This window comes from Homo sapiens, chromosome 1 (genome assembly GCF_000001405.40).
Source record: "Homo sapiens chromosome 1, GRCh38.p14 Primary Assembly".
NCBI classification, from domain to species: Eukaryota; Metazoa; Chordata; class Mammalia; order Primates; family Hominidae; genus Homo; species Homo sapiens.
Genome location: NC_000001.11, coordinates 47263891 through 47282498, shown reverse-complemented (window position 1 = coordinate 47282498; position 18608 = coordinate 47263891). Strand labels below are relative to the sequence as shown.

At 39.4% G+C, this 18608-nt stretch overlaps 1 protein-coding gene across 54 annotated transcripts in view; it reads left to right on the top strand.

Annotated features, from left to right (window-relative positions):
* Positions 1–18608, top strand: part of STIL (STIL centriolar assembly protein) — a 64758-nt gene that overhangs the window by 32398 nt on the left and 13752 nt on the right. For 53 of the 54 annotated variants that reach the window (NM_001377417.1, XM_047428403.1, XM_047428312.1 and 50 more), the window contains 4 exons: positions 40–154; positions 1290–2258; positions 10258–10423; positions 12633–12864. In NM_001377417.1, the coding sequence (NP_001364346.1) occupies positions 40–154; positions 1290–2258; positions 10258–10423; positions 12633–12864 (1482 nt within the window). Of the gene's footprint in view, positions 1–39; positions 155–1289; positions 2259–10257; positions 10424–12632; positions 12865–15688; positions 15964–18608 lie in introns of those variants that run through there. The other variant, XM_017002127.1, reaches the window with a different exon arrangement.

The window sequence follows — 18608 nt, the reverse complement described above, 5'->3', positions numbered from 1 at the left end:
TTACCAAAGGCTTTTCTGGTCTCCCCTTCTATTCTTTAGGTCTTCCCAAAAGTTATCTTCTGGGAAGATGCCAATACATGATCACGACTCTGGTGTTGAAGATGAAGATTTTTCTCCAAGACCAATTCCTAGTCCTCATCCAGTGAGTCAGAAGGTATCACTGATTTTAAAATGCATTCACTTTTGTGGTTAGAGACCTAAGTCTCTTCATGGTTAAAACACTAAATAATACTACCTGAAACCTAAGTATCATTCTTAGATATATCTAGCTATTTCTATCTCTATGGTTATATCTATATATAGAGATATAAGTATTTCACAGTTATATATAATAATTCATATTATATGTAATGATATATACATATGTGTAATATCTATGTAATAAGCATGTATGGTTATTCCTAGAGTAAACTGAGACATAGATTGGTTAAGTTACCTACCCAAGACACACAACTAGTAAGTAGTAAAGCTGGGATTCTATTTCAGGAGGTTTGGTTTTAGAATCTGGTACTTTTAATAACCATATAGACTCAACATTATATACTATCACTAGAGCTTGACATTGGTTTTTATCACTATATTCTGAGAAAACATTATACTTGCTTTCAGAGGTTAATTGCTAAAATTCTTGTCATAATTTTTTTATTGCTACCAACCTGTGGGTCATTTTAGAATTGTTTAATTCTTATTTTAGAAGAAAAAGGAATGGGAAGGATTTTTTAAAGCTAATATCAAATTATAACCAAATTCATCACAGCGAGTATTTTGTTTACTCTTTTTTGCTTTCCACCTCTTAGTTGATATCAATAGAAGGAATAACAGTGAGTGACTTCTTAGTGGAGAAATATTTTGAAACATTTATTGGAAGATTTTACTATTTAAGGTACATAAACATTTGCTACTAGATCTGTGAAAACATTCTGCTTGTGACAATTTTATTTTTTGCAGAGAGGATTTAAAAAGTTATATAAAACAGTTTCTCATATTGTGTTCTGTGATCTTAGCAGTGTTAGTGTTTTAATAAAAAGAGTTCCATTATTAAATAAGTTTGGGAAGTGTTTAGTTTTATTCTTTTAGGGCAAGGACCTTGTTTATTTAGCTTACAATTGCATTCCTAGTGCTTAGCACATAAAACATGCCCAGAAAAAATTAACTGATGGTCTAAATAAAGAATGAACACTTGTTAATATGTAATTAGATATAATTTGGGAAATACTGGTCTGAGGAAAGTAAAGTATACAGTTTCTCCAAAAAAATACTTTTTTTTTCTATTTCTTTCTTATTTGTAGATTTCTAAGATCCAACCATCAGTTCCTGAACTTTCACTTGTGTTGGATGGCAATTTCATAGAATCAAACCCTCTGCCTACTCCATTGGAAATGGTGAATAATGAAAATCCTCCTTTGATTAACCACTTGGAACACTTGAAGCCATTGCAACCCCAGCTTTATGATGAGAAACACAGTCCAGAAGTTGAAGCTGGAGAGCCTTCCTTGAGAGGAATACCAAATCAGTTAAACCAGGATAAACCAGCTCTTTTGAGACACTGCAAAGTAAGACAGCCACCTGCCTATAAGAAAGGGAACCCCCATACCAGGAACAGTATTAAACCATCTTCTCATAATGGGCCATCTCATGATATATTTGAAAAGCTCCAAACAGTTTCTGCTGGAAATGTACAAAACGAAGAGTATCCTATAAGACCCTCCACACTTAATTCTAGGCAGTCTTCTCTTGCCCCGCAGTCCCAACCACACGATTTTGTTTTTTCACCCCATAATTCAGGAAGACCAATGGAACTTCAGATACCTACTCCCCCACTGCCATCTTACTGTTCCACAAACGTTTGCAGGTGTTGTCAGCATCATAGTCATATTCAATATAGTCCGCTAAATTCTTGGCAAGGAGCAAACACAGTTGGATCCATTCAAGATGTCCAGTCTGAAGCCCTTCAAAAGCATTCATTATTTCACCCAAGTGGATGTCCAGCCCTGTACTGTAATGCATTCTGTTCTTCAAGTAGTCCTATAGCCTTGAGACCTCAGGGAGATATGGGCAGTTGTTCTCCCCACAGCAATATTGAACCATCGCCTGTGGCAAGACCGCCTTCACATATGGACTTATGTAACCCACAGCCTTGCACAGTGTGCATGCACACACCCAAGACTGAGTCAGATAATGGAATGATGGGACTATCTCCAGATGCATATCGGTTCCTCACAGAACAAGACAGACAGCTAAGACTACTTCAGGCACAGGTTTGCTTGGTGCTTTCCTAGTTCTATTAATTTCTTGGTATTAAGATTTCTTAAAAACTGGCACCTCTCCTCAGTAATGATGTTTTATAGAAGTATAGAATGTCAGAATTAGGAGGGACCTTGGAAACTGAATTCTAGGCCCTCTTGTTTTACAGGTAAGTAAAATGAGGATTAGAGAGAATAATTTAACCCAATGCCACGTTGCTAGTTAGTAGTAGAACCATCTTATGCATATCCTAACCTACAATAGAATTGTATTTTTATTTTTTGCCTCTAATGAAAAGTCTGTTATAATTAACTAAGCCTTTATATACAGCTAAATATAAAGTCTGGACAGTGGCTTATACTTCATCTCTAGTTTGTCAGCCCTATATAATGCCTATCTATATAGTTAGAGCCTTTCTGCATATCTATACTGGACTTATTCTACTTCTTGTTTTCTGAAATGTTCCCTTTTTTCAGAACCTCTGTTGCAGAGTTCTTAGTTTTTTGTTGTTTTTTTTTTTTTTTTTTGAGACGGAGTCTCTTCTGTTGCGCAGGCTGGAGTGCAGGGGCATGATCTTGGCTCACTGCAACCTCCGCCTCCCAAGTTCAAGTGATCTTCCTGCCTCAGCCCTGCTAGGAGCTGGGATTACAGGCACGCGCCACCATGCCTGGCTAGTTTTTGTATTTTTAGTAGAGACGGGGTTTCGCCATGTTGGCCAGCATAGTCTCGACGGAGTTCTTTGTCTTAATTATATCCTTGCGCAGTGTTTAGTGTGTAAGTGTTGTCTTTTTTCTTCTTTCCTCACTGACGTCCTTCCTCCACATACCTACCCCAAAACAGTGTTCCTCTCTTTCTCCCCAGCACCAATGGGAACAACCTGAAATGTAGTTTTAAATATTTTTCATGATCCTATAACTATGCAAATATATGTGTAATGTGCATATATACGTATGATTTTTTTTTTTTTTTTTTGAGACGGAGTATTTCTCTGTCGCCCAGGCTGGAGTGCAGTGCCACGATCTCGGCTCACTGCAAGCTCCGCCTCCCGGGTTCACGCCATTCTCCTGCCTCAGCCGCCGGAGTAGCTGGGACTATGCCCGGCTAATTTTTTGTATTTTTTTAGTAGAGACGGAGTTTCACTATGTTAGCCAGGATGGTCTCGATCTCCTGACCTTGTGATCCTCCCACCTCGGCCTCCCAAAGTGTTGGGATTACAGGCGTGAGCCTCCGCGCCCGGCCATACATATGATTTTTTAAAAAATCTTTGTTTTATAAAATTGGAGTTATAGTGTTTGCATTTTATCAGAAAAAAGACAATGACATTTTTCAAATCAGTGAAAACGCTTTGGATAGGAACACCTGAGAAAAATTTAGCTCTGCTGTTTTTTTAAACCTAGGTAAATTCTTTGAAATTGTAAAGTATAGTTTTTTTTAAAATTTTTACTTTTTTTTTTAGAGAAAAGGTCTTCCTATATTGCCCAGACTGGTCTTGAACTCCTCAGCTCAAGTGATCTTTCTGCTTTGACCTCCCAGAGTGCTGGGATTATAGGTGTGAGTCACCACTCCCACATAATGTAAAATATAAATTGGATTTTAACATTATAAACACTTAGCAAAAATTTGAATATACCTAAATATTTTTACATTGAAAATAATTATTTCTCACTTATTTCCTGTCTTGTTCTAAAGAAGACTAATTAGAGGCTAAAAGGACCCATTATACTATTTAGAAATCTTAGTTACTTGGAATTTGTATACTTAAAATATAATATTATAGATCACAGGCCGTGGTCTAGACTATCTGAATCATTATATTTAGAAAATATGAAATATACAAAAAAATGCTTCTGTGTGTAAATACATATAGTATTTTCCTTATATATATATGAACTTAAATTTTTAGGTACCACTTTTTAAAAAGTATCTTATACATTTTTTATATAAGTATATATAGAACTCCCTTACCCTGCATGGGTTTCTATCATAATGATAGACAACAAATTTTCTAATTGTTCTCCTATTGATTATTTCAACCATTTAAAGCTTCTGCTATTGCAAACAATGCAGCAGTGAACATTCCTATATTTGCATCTTACTACCTATGTGCAAGTATCTCTATACTATAGATTCCTAGAAGTAAAACTGTGAAGCCAAATGGAATAAACATTTTAAATGTTCAAAGATACCCAAATTTGTTCCTGTTCTAGTATTGCAAATCTCATTTTGGTGTAAGGGTTAAGAGAGTGGGCTGTGGTACCAGACTCCTTGGATTCTGATCTAGTTTGTGGGTACTGTAGGTTACAAGATCATGGACAAGTTACCTTACCTCATTGACTTCAGTTTTCTCACATACAAAATAGGGATATACATAAGTTGTATGGAGTTCTTTTGTTTTTTGTTTTAATTTTTTTTTCAGTTGTTCACATGTATGGCAAAGTTGTATGGAGTTCTAAGGATCTGAATGAGTTACTAGATAAAGGTGTAGAATATTGCTGACATATAGTTAGTGCTCAGTATATGTTAACTATTACTATTATTTCACTATTATTATCTTAGTTAATGGTATCACCTCTCATCTCGTCACTCAGGCAAAATTCTCAGGAGTCACAAACCCAGGCTCTGCTTTGTAGATATATACTGAACTTAACTACTCTTTACTATCTTTCCTGCTACCAACCTAATTCAAACCACTGATGACACCCTTACATACCACTTCCATCCAGTACTATCCCCTCATGTTTCCTATACTTGGAAACACCATACCGTCGTTGTTTGTTTGTTTTCCCCACACCATCTTTAAAGCCCAGGTCAGATTGTAGCACTCTTGCTTAAAATCCTCCAGTGGATTTCCATTGCAATTAGAATAAAATCCAAATGCTTTACCTTGGCCCTTAAAGCCCTTTATGACTTGGCTTGTCTTTCTCTGCAAACTCATCTCTTATCACTGTCTTCTGTGTTCACTACACTTCAGCTGTAGTGCTTTTTTCTTTAACTTTTTGTACTTTAAAAATGCCAAAACATGTTTATACTTTAGGTTCTTCAGCTTTTGGTTCCCTTTGCCTGAAATATTCCTCCTTGGACCCTTCTAATGGCTATTTCCTTCTCATCATTCAGGCCCTTAATCACGTTTTTTTGTTCTATTTGTGATAGAAAGCTCCAGGGAAGGAGCTCACATTCATCACTGTTTTCTTAGCACCTTGAATAGTACTTGATGTGTAATCGTTGCTTAATACATAGTTTGTTACTTGAATGAGTGAAAATGGCTGCTGGAAAGGCTATATCTATTTATTTATTTATTTTTCTAGATGAGATGAATGATGCCAGATTATACCAATTTAGTATCCCCAAACCATTTTTCCACATCTACATGTCCAACATTAGGCAAACTTAAATTATTACCAGTCTTAGAAGATGGTTTTTTTTTTTTTTTTTTTTTTTTTTTAGGCAGAGTTTTACTCTTTCACCCAGGCTAGAGTGAAATGGCATGATCTGGGCTCACTGCAACCTCTATCTGCCCCCCGGGGTTGAAGCAATTCTCCTGCCTCAGCTTCCCAAGTAGCTGGGATTATAGGCACCCACCACCACACCTGGTTAATTTTTGTATTTTTAGTAGAGACAGGGGTTTCACCATGTTGGCCAGGCTGATCTCGAACTCCTGACCTCAGGTGATCCACCTGCCTCGGCCTCCCAGAGTGCTAGGATTACAGGTGTGAGCCACCATGCCTGGCCTAGAAGTTGTTTTAATTTACATTATATTAACATATGTAATTGATTATTATTTATAAGAGCTCATTGTATATGAAGGAAATTGGTCCTTTATCATTCATATATATATATATGTATATGTATATGCATATGCGTGTGGTATTTCTTACAGTTAGTCTTAAGTGTTTTGCATTTTAACCATTTGTTTTGTACAGAATATTCCAGTTTAGATACAGTTAAATAATGTAGACCAGGTGCGGTGGCTCACACCTGTAGTCCCAGCACTTTGGGAGACCTAGGCGGCTGGATCACCTGAGGTCAGGAGTTTGAGACCAGCCTGGCCAACATGGTGAAATCCCGTCTCTACTAAAAATACAAAAATTACCTGGGCGTGGTAGTGGGCGCCTGTAATCCCGCTACTTAGGAGGCTGAGGCATGAGAATCGCTTGAACCTCAGAGGCGGAAATTGCAGTGAGCCAAGATCACACCACTGCACTCCAGCCTGGGCGACAGAGCTAGACTCTGTCTCAAAAAGAAAAAAAAAAAAGTATGAGTCATTCTCTTTCTGGGTTTTATGTTTAGAAAAGCCTTCTTCCTTTCAAGATTATAAAAAATTTATTCTTGGCTGGGCCCACTGGCTCATGCCTGTAATCCCAGCATTTTGGGAGGCCAAGGTGGTTGGATCACTTGAGCCCAGGAATATGAGACCAGCCAGGGCAACATAGTGAGACTCCATCTCTACAAAAAATAAAAAAGAAATAACTGGCCATAGTGTTGCGCACCTGTAATCCCAGCTCCTTGGGAGACTGAAGCAGGAGGATTGCTTCAGCCTAGGAAGCTGAGGCTGCAGTGAGCCAAGACCGTGCCACTGTACTCTGGCCTAGGCGACAGAGTAAGATCCTGTCTTAAAAAAAAAAAATCTTATTTATTTATTTATTTATTGAGATGGAGTCTCACTGTGTCACCCAGGCTGGAGTGCAGTGGCGCGATCTCAGCTCACTGCAAGCTCTGCCTCCCGGGTTCACACCATTCTCCTGCCTCAGCCTCCTGAGTAGCTGGGACTACAGGCGTTGGCCACCAAGCCGGGCTAATTTTTTGTATTTTTAGTAGAGACGGGGTTTTACCATGTTAGCCAGGATGGTCTTGATCTCCTGACCTTGTGATCCGCCCGCCTCAGCCTCCCAAAGTGCTGGGATTACAGGAGTGAGCCACCGCGCCCAGCAAAAAAAAAATCTTTTTAAAAAATTCTCCCTCTCCCTTCAGGATTATATTTGTTGCTTCTTTTTTATTTAAGTAAGTTTTTTTTTTTAAATCAGATGACTGGACTCACATATTTATTTAATAAATACATATCTTTTTACGAATGATTTAGAGATGCTTTTTGTTGTTGTTGTTGTTGTTGATGAGACAGAGTCTTGCTCTGTAACCCAGGCTGGAGGGCACTGGCTCAGCTCACTGCAACCTCTGCCTTCCAGGTGCAAGTGATTCTCCTGCCTTTATCACCTGAGTAGCTGGGATTGCAGCCGTGTGCCACCATGCCCGGCTAATTTTTGTGGTTTTAGTAGAGACAGGGTTTTACCATGTTGGCTAGGCTGGTCTTGAACTCCTGACCTCAGGTGATCCACCTGCCTCGGCCTCCCAAAGTGCTGGGATTTCAGGTGTGAGCCACTGCACCCAGCAAGAGATGCATTTTTTATTGTATAATGAAAGTATCATATGTTTGCATCTATTTCTGAACTATAGTCTGCTCCACATATCTGCCTGCCCCCCACCACTAGTTACCATTTGATTTAATCACCCACAGCTTTATATTTCAATATTCCAACTTTAATGGCTTTTTTTTTTTTAATGGAGAAGATGCAGCTTGAGGAGAGGAACTTTAAAAAATAACACTGAAGTCCTGCCAAATGATCCCTAAAAGTTCTGAGAAAGAGGCTGGGTGTGGTGGCTCACGCCTGTAATCCCAGCACTTTGGGAGGCTGAGGTGGGTGGATCACGAGGTCAAGAGATCGAGACCATCCTGGCTAACATAGTGAAACTCCGTCTCTACTAAAAAAAATACAAAAAATTAGCCTGGCGTAGTCCCAGCTACTCGGGAGGCTGAGGCAGGAGAATGGCGTGGACCCGGGAGGCGGAGCTTGCAGTGAGCTGAGATACGCCACTGCACTCCAGCCTGGGCGACAGAGCGAGGCTCTGTCTCAAAGAAAAAAAAGAAAAGTTCTGAGAAAGAAAGAATATTAGCTGTTTCAAATGTTAAAATGCACTATAGAATTCTAGTGATTAATGTTTTAAAAACACTGAGTGATCAATTTTAGGACCTGAGTGTGTGTAATGTCTTTTACTGTACATTTCCTATGTGATTTCTCTACACTTCACTTTTCTCACCTATAAAATGGGAGAAATGATCAGTATTATATGTAGATTTAAAGATTAAATGAGTGTGTGTGTGTGTGTAAAGTGCTTACTTAGTATGGGACCTGGCTAGAGGAAGTACGCAACAAATTACAACTGTTTTATTTATCTCTTTTAACAACCTTAGTTTTAGGTGATATTGAAGCTCATAGTGGTTAAGTAACTTTTCCAAAAGGTAGCAGGGTAGGATTTAAACTTATAGCCACATGATACCAAAGCTGTACTCCAAACCACTATAAATACACATGCCATTTTATACTATTAGCGCAGTTTATATTTCTACTGACCTTAATAATTGATTGATGATACTTATTTTCCTATATTAATAAGGTTAATCCACTAAAATTATATTGAGCACAGTAGTACCATTTGTAGAGAAGCAGAAAATCATAGTGTTTACAAAGGGAGGCTCTTCCACTCCTAGTTACATACCCAAGAGAAGTGAAAAAAATATGTCCACACAAAAAGCTGTATGTAAATGTCCAAGTAGCATTATTCCTAATAGCCCAAAGTGAAAACAACCTAAATGTCTGTCAGCTGATGAGTGGAAAAGCACAATGTGATATATCCATACAAGGGAATGTTATTCAGCAATCAGAAGCAATAAAGTATTAGTAAATGCTGCAACATGGTTGAACCTTCAAAACATTATGCCAAGTGAAAGAAGCCAGATACAAGGCCACAGTATGGTACTGTTTATATGAAATGTCCAGAATAGGCAAATTCAGAGATAGAAATCATGTTAGACCGTCAGGGGCTCCGGAGAAGGGCAATAGGGTGTGGCTGCTAATGGGTACAGAGTTTTGGGGGTTTGATGAAAATGTTCTGGAATCAGATAGTGGTGATTATTGCACACTTTGTGAGTATACCAAAAACCACTGAATTGTACACTTTAAAGCAGCTAATTTCATGGTACATGAATTATATCTCAATTTAAAATGGAAGAGGGGAGGCTTTTGGTGTTTGAACCTCAGCTTTCAGATTTGCTACTTGTTAGTTATATGTCCTATACAAGTAACTTAACTTTTTCCTTGCCGCAGGTTTTCTTACTTGTAAAAAAAATGTTTAATTGTAATATAGTCTTCAGAGGATTGCTGTAAAAATTATACATAAAAGCCTATAGTAATAGGGTCTTGCAAACAACAGGCGCTCAGTAACTGTTAGCCATTGTTATTAATATATCCAATTTCAACATGGGCAAACATGGGCAATTCTGATTTACCTTTATAATAATCTTGTGTGATATGTTCAGTATTTGGTATATGGAGTCAGAGAGTCAGAGTATACCTCCAATCTAACTTTTGATTTATAAGTGAAATAGGAATATAATGTTAGTTTGAAGTATTAACCATTCACACTTTTTTACATGAGTATCAACTTACGAATACTAAGCTAAACACCTTTATGTATTGCTTTTAAATGTATACTTAAAGGCTGAGGTGGGCAGATTGCTTGAGCCCAGGAGTTTGAGAACAGCCTGGGCAACATGGCAAAACCCCATCTCTACAAAACATGTGAAAATTAACCAGGCATGGTGGTGCATGGCTGTCATCCCAGCCACCCCAGGAGGCTGAGGTGGGAGGATCGATTGAGCCCAGGAGGTTGAGGCTGCAATAAGCCATGATTGCACCACGGCTGGGTGACAGCCTGGGTGACAGAGCAAGACCTTGTCTCAAAAAAAAAAAAAAATAGTATACTTAAAGTGCTTCTTAATAACTAGTGATAATGGCTTTCTATATTGAATAAGTTTCATGGTATGGTCTAGTTGAAATTTGAGAAAATAGACTTAAAAGTCAGTTTCTTATAATTAGGGCGCTTTGTAATTCATTATTAAACTGCTGCCAGTTTTGTTGATTACTTCCCTGTCAGTTTAAAGTATGTTTTTAATTGATACAGATTCAGCGTTTGTTGGAAGCACAGTCTCTGATGCCCTGTTCCCCTAAGACAACTGCTGTTGAAGACACAGTGCAAGCTGGAAGACAAATGGAGTTGGTTTCTGTGGAAGCACAGTCTTCCCCTGGCTTGCACATGAGAAAAGGTGTAAGCATTGCTGTGAGCACAGGTAATTTCAGTTTTTTTTTAATTTGTAAGGAAATTGTTAAAAATGCTTTTCATATCTGGTTTTTGAATTTTATGTTCAAATTGGTGCATGGTGCAGTAGGACCAAAACCAAGGTGATGAGAGTATGACTTAAGTTTTTGTGTGATTTTAGTCTTTGTGAAATAAAACTACACCTGCAAACTGCATAACATGATAAAGTGTTTGATTTTGCTACTTTTCTAGGCTGGACCCAATTCTGGTTTTTTTTTTGTTTTTTGTTTTTTTTTTTGAAATGGAGTCTCGCTGTGTTGCCCAAGCTAGAGTGCAGTGTGGTGCACTCTCAGCTCACTGCAACCTCCACCATCCTAGGTTCAAGCAATCCTCCTGTCTCAGCCTCCCAAAGTGTTGGGATTACAGGCGTGAGCCACCGCGTCCAGCCAGTCTTGTTTGTATTAATTTATTTTCATAAAATCACCCAAGTATATCCTCAGAGTAGAAACCATTTTGACTATGATTTACTTTTTTTTTTTTTTTTTTTTGAGACGGAGTCTCACTCCGTCACACAGGCTGGAGTGCAATGGCATAGTCTCGGCTCACTGCAACCTCCGCCTCCTGGGTTCAAGTGATTTTCCTGAGTAGCTGGGACTACAAGCGCCTGCCACCACACCTGGCTAATTTTTGTATTTTTAGTAGAGATGGGGTTTCACTATGTTGGTCAGGCTGGTCTCCAACTCCTGACCGCATGATCCACCCACCTCAGCCTCCCAAAGGGCTGGGATTGTATTACAGGCATGAGCCACTGTGCCCAGGCTACTTTTTGGTTTTAACCATCTGTTTAAACCATTATGTATTAGCAATATTCCCCAAATTATAGAATGCCTATGGCTCGTGGTACAAAAGATGATTTAGGGTGTTATACAGATTAATATTTATATTTTGTAAATATATCTTTTCCAATACTCATAGGTATAAATACAATAAGCATATCAAATCTGTGATTTTAGAGAAATAATGAGGCTCAGTAAAAAAAGAGTTAATTTAAAGAAAGAGTAAGTAAACAATATTACATGCAAATAGCTCTGAAGATAGGTGTAAGTGCTTCATAAAGATTGAGAAATTGGCTGGGCGCAGTGGCTCATGCCTATAATGTTTGCACTTTGGGAGGTCAAGGCAGGTGGATTGCCTGATGCTAGGAGTTCGAGACCAGCCTGGTCAAAATGATGAAGCCCCATCTTTAAAAAAAATACAAAAATTAGCCACATATGGTGGCGCACACCTGCAGTCCCAGCTACTCGGGAAGCTGAGGTGGGAGGATCACCTGAGCCCAGGGACGTTGAGGCTGCAGTGAGCTGTGATTGTGTCACTGCACTCCAGCCTGAGCAACAAAGTGACACCCTGTCTTAAAAAAAAAAAAAAAAAAAAAAAAAGATTGGGAAACACTTGATTTTTTTTAATACCTGCCTGATATTACAGATATTACAGATGTCTGATGCATCACCAATGTAGTCTTTTAAATATTGCATTTAAGTGTCAAAACCAGAGAACCTAGGGATTTGTATTTTATATATTATCTCATATTATTCAGAGCAGCAGTTTTCAACATACACACCCCATCCCACGGATCATATTCAGAATCTTAATATGTAAAGCAAATCATTTCAGAGCCACCCTTCTTGAAAAAGCAGAACCCAGAATGTGCCCTTCCACCCGACCCGTCCCCTAGTGTTTTGTCTTTCTGTCTTCCACCTACCTCTTCCTGGCATTTCTGAGGAAATATAATCTAAAAACTTAGTTCTAAGTAATTGTGTGTGTGTGTGTGTGTGTGTGTGTGTGTGTGTGTGTATATATATATATATTTTTTTTTTTTTTTGAGCCAGAGTTGCCCAGGCTGGAATGCAGTAGCACAATCACAGCTCATTGCAGCATCGACCTCCTGGGCTCAAGTGATCTTACACCTCTGCCTCCTGAGTAGATGGGACTACAGGCACACCACCACACCTGGCTAATTTTTTTGTATTTTTTTTGTAGAGACAGGATTTCTCCATGTTGCCCAGGCTGGTCTCGAACTCCTGAGCTCAAGTGATCCTCCCGCCTCTGCCTCTCAAAGTGTTGGGATTATAGGCGTGAGCCATTGCACCCAGCCAATATGGCTATTCTTAACAAAGGTTTGGCAGAGTATTATTTTTAAAGTTGAATGTTTGTTTCAGTATCTTAAATTATTTAACCTCCAGGTGCTAGCTTGTTTTGGAATGCAGCAGGTGAGGATCAAGAGCCTGACTCTCAAATGAAGCAAGATGATACCAAAATTTCCAGTGAGGACATGAATTTTTCTGTCGATATTAATAATGAAGTCACAAGTCTTCCAGGTAGTGCATCTTCATTAAAAGCAGTTGATATTCCCAGTTTTGAAGAGAGCAACATTGCTGTGGAAGAAGAATTTAACCAGCCACTTTCTGTATCCAAGTAAGGTCTCTTTGATTTAGTCTTTCATCCTACTTTCAAAAAAAATTTTTTTTGATAGACAAATAATAATTGTATATATTTGTGGGGCACAATGTTTAGATGCATGTTTACAGTATGGAATGATTAAATCAGACCAACAAATCTATCACTTCACATACTTAACTTTTTCTGTGGTAAAAACATTTGAAGTCTACTATTAGCAATTTTGAAATATACAATGTATTATTATTCATTACAGTTGCTGTTCTGTTCAGGTTTTTTTTTGTTTTTAATTCTAATTTCTTTAAAGTCTTCTAACTCAGAAATGATATATTTTCTAACTGGTATTTTCTTTTATGTCTTTACTTGATATGATTTCTATGTAACTGACAACTCTGAGCCTTCTAGAACCATTTCCAGATGTCAGTCTTTGGCTATATTAACAGTCTGGATGAATCAGAAATCGGAAGAAAACTTCAAAAATACACAAGCTCAGGCCTCACCCTAGAGGATCTGATAATATTAGGTTCCAGATACAGATGGAGAAATTTTTTTTTTTTTTTTTTTGACGGAGTCCCGCTCTGTTGCCCAGGCTGGAGTGCAGTGGTGCAATCTCGGCTCACTGCAATCTCCACCTCCCGGGTTCACGCCATTCTCCTGCCTCCCGTGTAGCTGGGACTACAGGCTCCTGCCACCATGCCCGGCTAATTCCGTGTTTGTATTTTTAGTAGAGATGGGGTTTCACCATGTTAGCCAGGATGGCCTCGATCTCCTGACCTCGTGATCTGCCTGCCTCGGCCTCCCAAAGTGCTGGGATTACAGGCGTGAGCCACCACACCTGGCGGAGAAATTTCTTTTATTTAATTTATTTATTTATTTATTTATTTATTTATTTATGAGATGGAGTTTCTCTCTTGTTGCTCAGTCTAGAGTGCAATGGTGCGATCTTGACTCACTGCAATCCCTGCCTCCTGGGTTCAAGTGATTCTCCTGCCTCAGCCTCCTGAGTAGCTGGGATTACAGACACCTGCCACCATGCTGGGCTAATTTTGTTTGTATTTTTTTTAGAGATGGGGTTTCGCCGTGTTGGCCAGGCTGGTCGTGAACTCCTGACCTCAGGTGATCCACCCACCTTGACCTCCTAAAGTGCTGGAATTACAGGCATGAGCCACTGTGCCCAGCCTATTTTATTTTATGTATTTATTTTTTGAGACAAGAGTCTCGCTTTTTCACCCAGGCTGGAGTGCAATGGCACTGTCTTGGCTCACTGCAACCTCTGCCTCCCAGGTTCAAGGCATTCTTGAGCCTCAGCCTCCCAAGCAGCTGGGATTACAGGCGTGCGCCACCACGCCCAGCTAATTTTTGTATTTTTAGTAGAGATGGGGCTTCCCATGTTGGCCAGGCTGATCTGGAACTCCTCACCTGAGGTGATCCGCCTGCCTCAGCCTTCCAAAGTGCTGGGATTATAGGCATGAGCCACTGTGAGATGGCGAGATTTCTAAAGATTCTCCGTATTGCCATTATATATAAAAGAGTCTATTTTTGAGTGATAGAACCTTAATATTTATATATGAAATGTTATCTGAGATTTGCTTCAAATTAATTCTGTGGGAGAATGAAATGGCTAGGAGTATAAATGAAATAAGATTGGCTATTTGGTAATTTTTGAAACTGATTGTATATGGTGATTTGTAAAATAATTCTCTCATGTTTGAAATTTTTCATTATGAAATTTTCCATTAAATAAGGATCGTAGGCTAGGCTCAGTGACTCTTACCTGTAACTGGGCACGGTGGTGCACACATGTAGTCCCAGGTACTTGGGAGGCTGAGGCAGGAGAATTGCCTGAACCTGGGAGGTGGAGGTTGCAGTGAGCCGAGATTGCGCCACTGCATTCCAGCCTGGGTGACAGAGCAAGACTAAGTCTCAAAACAAAACAAAACAAAAAACGGATTCTAAAGTAAATTTTTTTTTTTTTTTTTTTTTTTAGATACTCGCTCTGTCGCCCTGGCTGGAGTACGGTGGCGTGATCTTGGCTCACTGCAACCTCAGCCTCCCAAGTAGCTGGGACTACAGGCACGGGCCACCACACCTGGCTAATTTTTGTGTTTTTAGTAGAGACAGGGTTTTGCCATGTTAGCCAGGGTGGTCTTGAACTCCTGACCTCAGGTTAGCCACCTGCCTCGGCCTTTCAAATTGTTGGGATTACTGGTATGAGCCACTGCACCTGGCCTAAAGTAATTTATATCCTCAGCAAATTTGGAAACAAACTCAGCAAATATTTGAGTTTCTGGTACGTGCTACCACAAAACTAGACACTAAATATCAAATACTAGGTTAGGCAAAGCTCCTAACTTTATGGAATTTAACCACATGAGCAGCAAATAACATAGTTTCAGATAGTGACAACTGCTCTGAAAAAGTAAACTAGAGTGATCAAGTGGAGTGTAACTGGGATGGTAACCTGGGAACAAGGTGTTATATTAAGTAGAGTGGTAAAGGAAACCATCTCTGTGAGGGGGTGACATTTGAGTAGTGACCTGAATGATGAGAAGGAGCCAGTCATGATAATATCTGGGGATGAGTATTCCAAGTGGAGGAAAAAGCAAGTGTAATGGCAAGTGTGGGTTTAAAAGTTACAGAAAAAAGCATGAAAGCCAGTGTGGCTGGACATAGTGATTGAGAGGGAGAGTATAGGAAATGAAGTCTGAGATACAGGCAGGAGCCAAGTTATATGGGGCTTTGTAGGATATAGAAAAGATTTTTTAATTTATTGCATGCTCATTAAAGCTAGTGGAGGATTTTAGATAATGGAGTGTTATGATCTGATTTTCATTTTTTGAAGACCATTCTAATTGTTTCGTGGAGAACTGAAGGATGTTAAGAGTGGAAGTTAAGATACTAACTGATTAATAAACTAAAGACCAAGTGAGATGAAGATGTCTTGGACTTGTGGAATTCGTGGAAGGGATCAGGTGTAGGATAAATTTTGAAGGTAAAAGAAAAATGTAGGTATAAAACATCCCAGGATAATAGCACATGAAACAGTTTAAAGAGGTTAATTTGAAATTCAAGACCAGGCTAGGCAAAATAGTGAGACCCTGTCTCTATAAAAAAATATTTTAACTTAGCTGGGTGTGGTGGTATGTGCCTGTAGTAGTTCCACCTACTCAGGAGGCTGAAACAGGAGGATCGCTTGAGACCAGAAGTTTGAGGTTGCAGTGATCTATGATAAGTGCCATTGTACTCTGGCTTCAATAACAGAGTGAGACTCCATTTCTAAAAATAAAAAAAGGTGAACTGGTAAGGTGACATGGGGCAGGCAGTGGATTACTTTTTAGAAATTAATAAGCCTTGTGATATTTGACATTTTAAATCATTGTGATTACAATAATGGTTAAGACAATAAACATGTCCCTTCAGAAAACTACAGAGAAACATCTCCTTTTAGTATAGTATATGTTTTAATCATATGATAAAATTAAGCACTCATTGTGTGTGCCACAGTATACAGAAAAGCTCTTTTGTGTATGTTAGATTGAGTTCCTGCAGGGTAAGGATCATAGTAATTTCCATATTTTTAGAATTTGCTGGGCTTGGTGGCTCATGCCTGTAATCTTAGCACTTTGGGAGGCCAAAGTGAACCGATTGCTTGTGCTAAGGTATTTGAGACCAGCCTGGGTAACATGGCGAAACCCTGTCTCTACCAAAATTACAGAAATTAGCCCTTGGTCCCAGCTGTTCGGGAGGCTAAGGTGGGAGGATTGCTGGAGCCTGGGAAGTTGAGTCTGCAGTGAGCTGTGATCACGCCACTGCACTCCAGCCTGGGTGACAGAGAGAGACTGTTTCTTTTTTTTTTTTTTTTTTTTTTTGAGACAGTCTTGCTCTGTCATCCAGGTTGGAGTGCAGTGGCGCAATCTCAGCTCAGCTCACTGCACCCTCCGCCTCCCGGGTACAAGCAGTTCTCCTGCCTCAGCCTGCCAAGTAGCTAGGATTACAGGCACTTGCCACTATGCCCGGCTAAGTTTTGTATTTTTAGTAGAGACGGGGTTTCTCCATGTTGGCCAGGCTGGTCTCCAACTCCTGACCTCAGATGATCTGCCCGCCTCAGCCTCCCAAAGTGCTGGGATTACAGGTGTGAGTCACCATGCCCGGCCAACTCTGTTTCAAAAAAAGTAATTAAAAAAAACTACAGTTTGACCCAGTGTCTGGTTCCCCATGGGGTGAGCCCCAAAGTAGGTCTGCAGTTTATTTAGAATAATTATAGAAACTGAGGACAAAGAGGAGCAAACCATGGGATCTTTATTTATTCTCCTTAACTCTGTAAACTGCAGACTACTTTCTAGAATAATGGGGGTTTTCAGATTGGAATTTTAAAAAATATCCAATCTTGTGTTTTTTTTTTTTTTTTTTTTTTTGGGAGATGGAGTGTTGCTCTGTTGCTCAGGCTGGAGTGCAGTGGTGTGATCTTGGTTCACTGCAACCTCCACCTCCTGGGTTCCGGAGATCCTTCTGCCTCAGCCTCTCAAGTAGCTGGGATTACAAGTGTACGCCACCACACCCAGCTAATTTTTGTATTTTTAGTGAAGACGGTGTTTCACCGTGTTGGCCAGGCTGGTCTCGAACTCCTGACCTCAAGTGATCTGCTTGTCTCGGCCTCCCAAAGTGCTGGGATTAAAGATGTGAGCCACCATGCCCTTGTTTTGGCTTTTTTTTTTTTTTTTTAACTTTAGAAACAGATCTGAGTTAATTGATAGAATGAAGTTAATTGCTTTTTCAGAGCAATTAATTAACTCTGTCGATCCCAACACATAACTAGATGTAAATCTAATCTTTGCTCAGCATTGATTTGGGTTGTTGATTTGGATTAAATACTTTCTCCAGTGTTGTCTATGATGGTTTTGGTGCTTCTCTGGGATCCTTCTCGCACTTTTGGTCTGATTCGTGCTCTGGTTCCCACTGCTGAGTATTCATAGATGACACGCAACTCCAGGGCTTCCAGTCCCCCTTAGATGTCTTGTTGGACCAGTGTTTCTGATGTTGAAGTAGTCTGTGAAAGATAAATTTATTTGCCTTGCAGCTTCATTGGTTATTGATTACTTTTTCCCAGCAGTGAGTAGTGGTATGTAGTATTTATAGAGACTTTCTTTTAAAATGATCCATATTTTTCTTTAGAAGCTGTGCTTTGGGCATACCTAATAATACTTGGCATATTAGAAGCATTTTAAAATTTTTTATTTAATCTTAAATCTTTTGTTGAGATTTGACATTTTTATTTATTCCTTTTTCTTCCCCCTAAAGAGTGTAGACATTTATTTATTTATTTTGGCTTATAAACAACAGAAATTTGTTTCTCATTGTTCTGAGGACTGGAAACTCCAAGATTGAGGCGCCAGCAGATGTAATGTTTTGTGAGGACCCATTTCCTGGTTCATAGTTGATGCCTCTTCCTTGTGTCCTCACGTGGTGAAAGGAGCTATCTAGCTCTTGGTGTTATTTTATTAAGGACCCTTGTAATCTTTAATGATTTGGGTTTGTTCTTTTTCAGTTTTAGTTTTTGCTTCCTAGGTTAGACACCAAGACAGATATTTTTAAATCCTTGAGGCCAGGTGCAGTGGCTCACGCCTGTAATCCCAGCACTTGGGGAGGCTGAGGCAGGCAGATCACCTGAGGTCAGGAGTTCGAGACCAGCCTGGCCAACATGGTGAAACCCCATCTCTACTAAAAATACAGAAACTAGCTGAGCATGGTGGTGCATGCCTGTA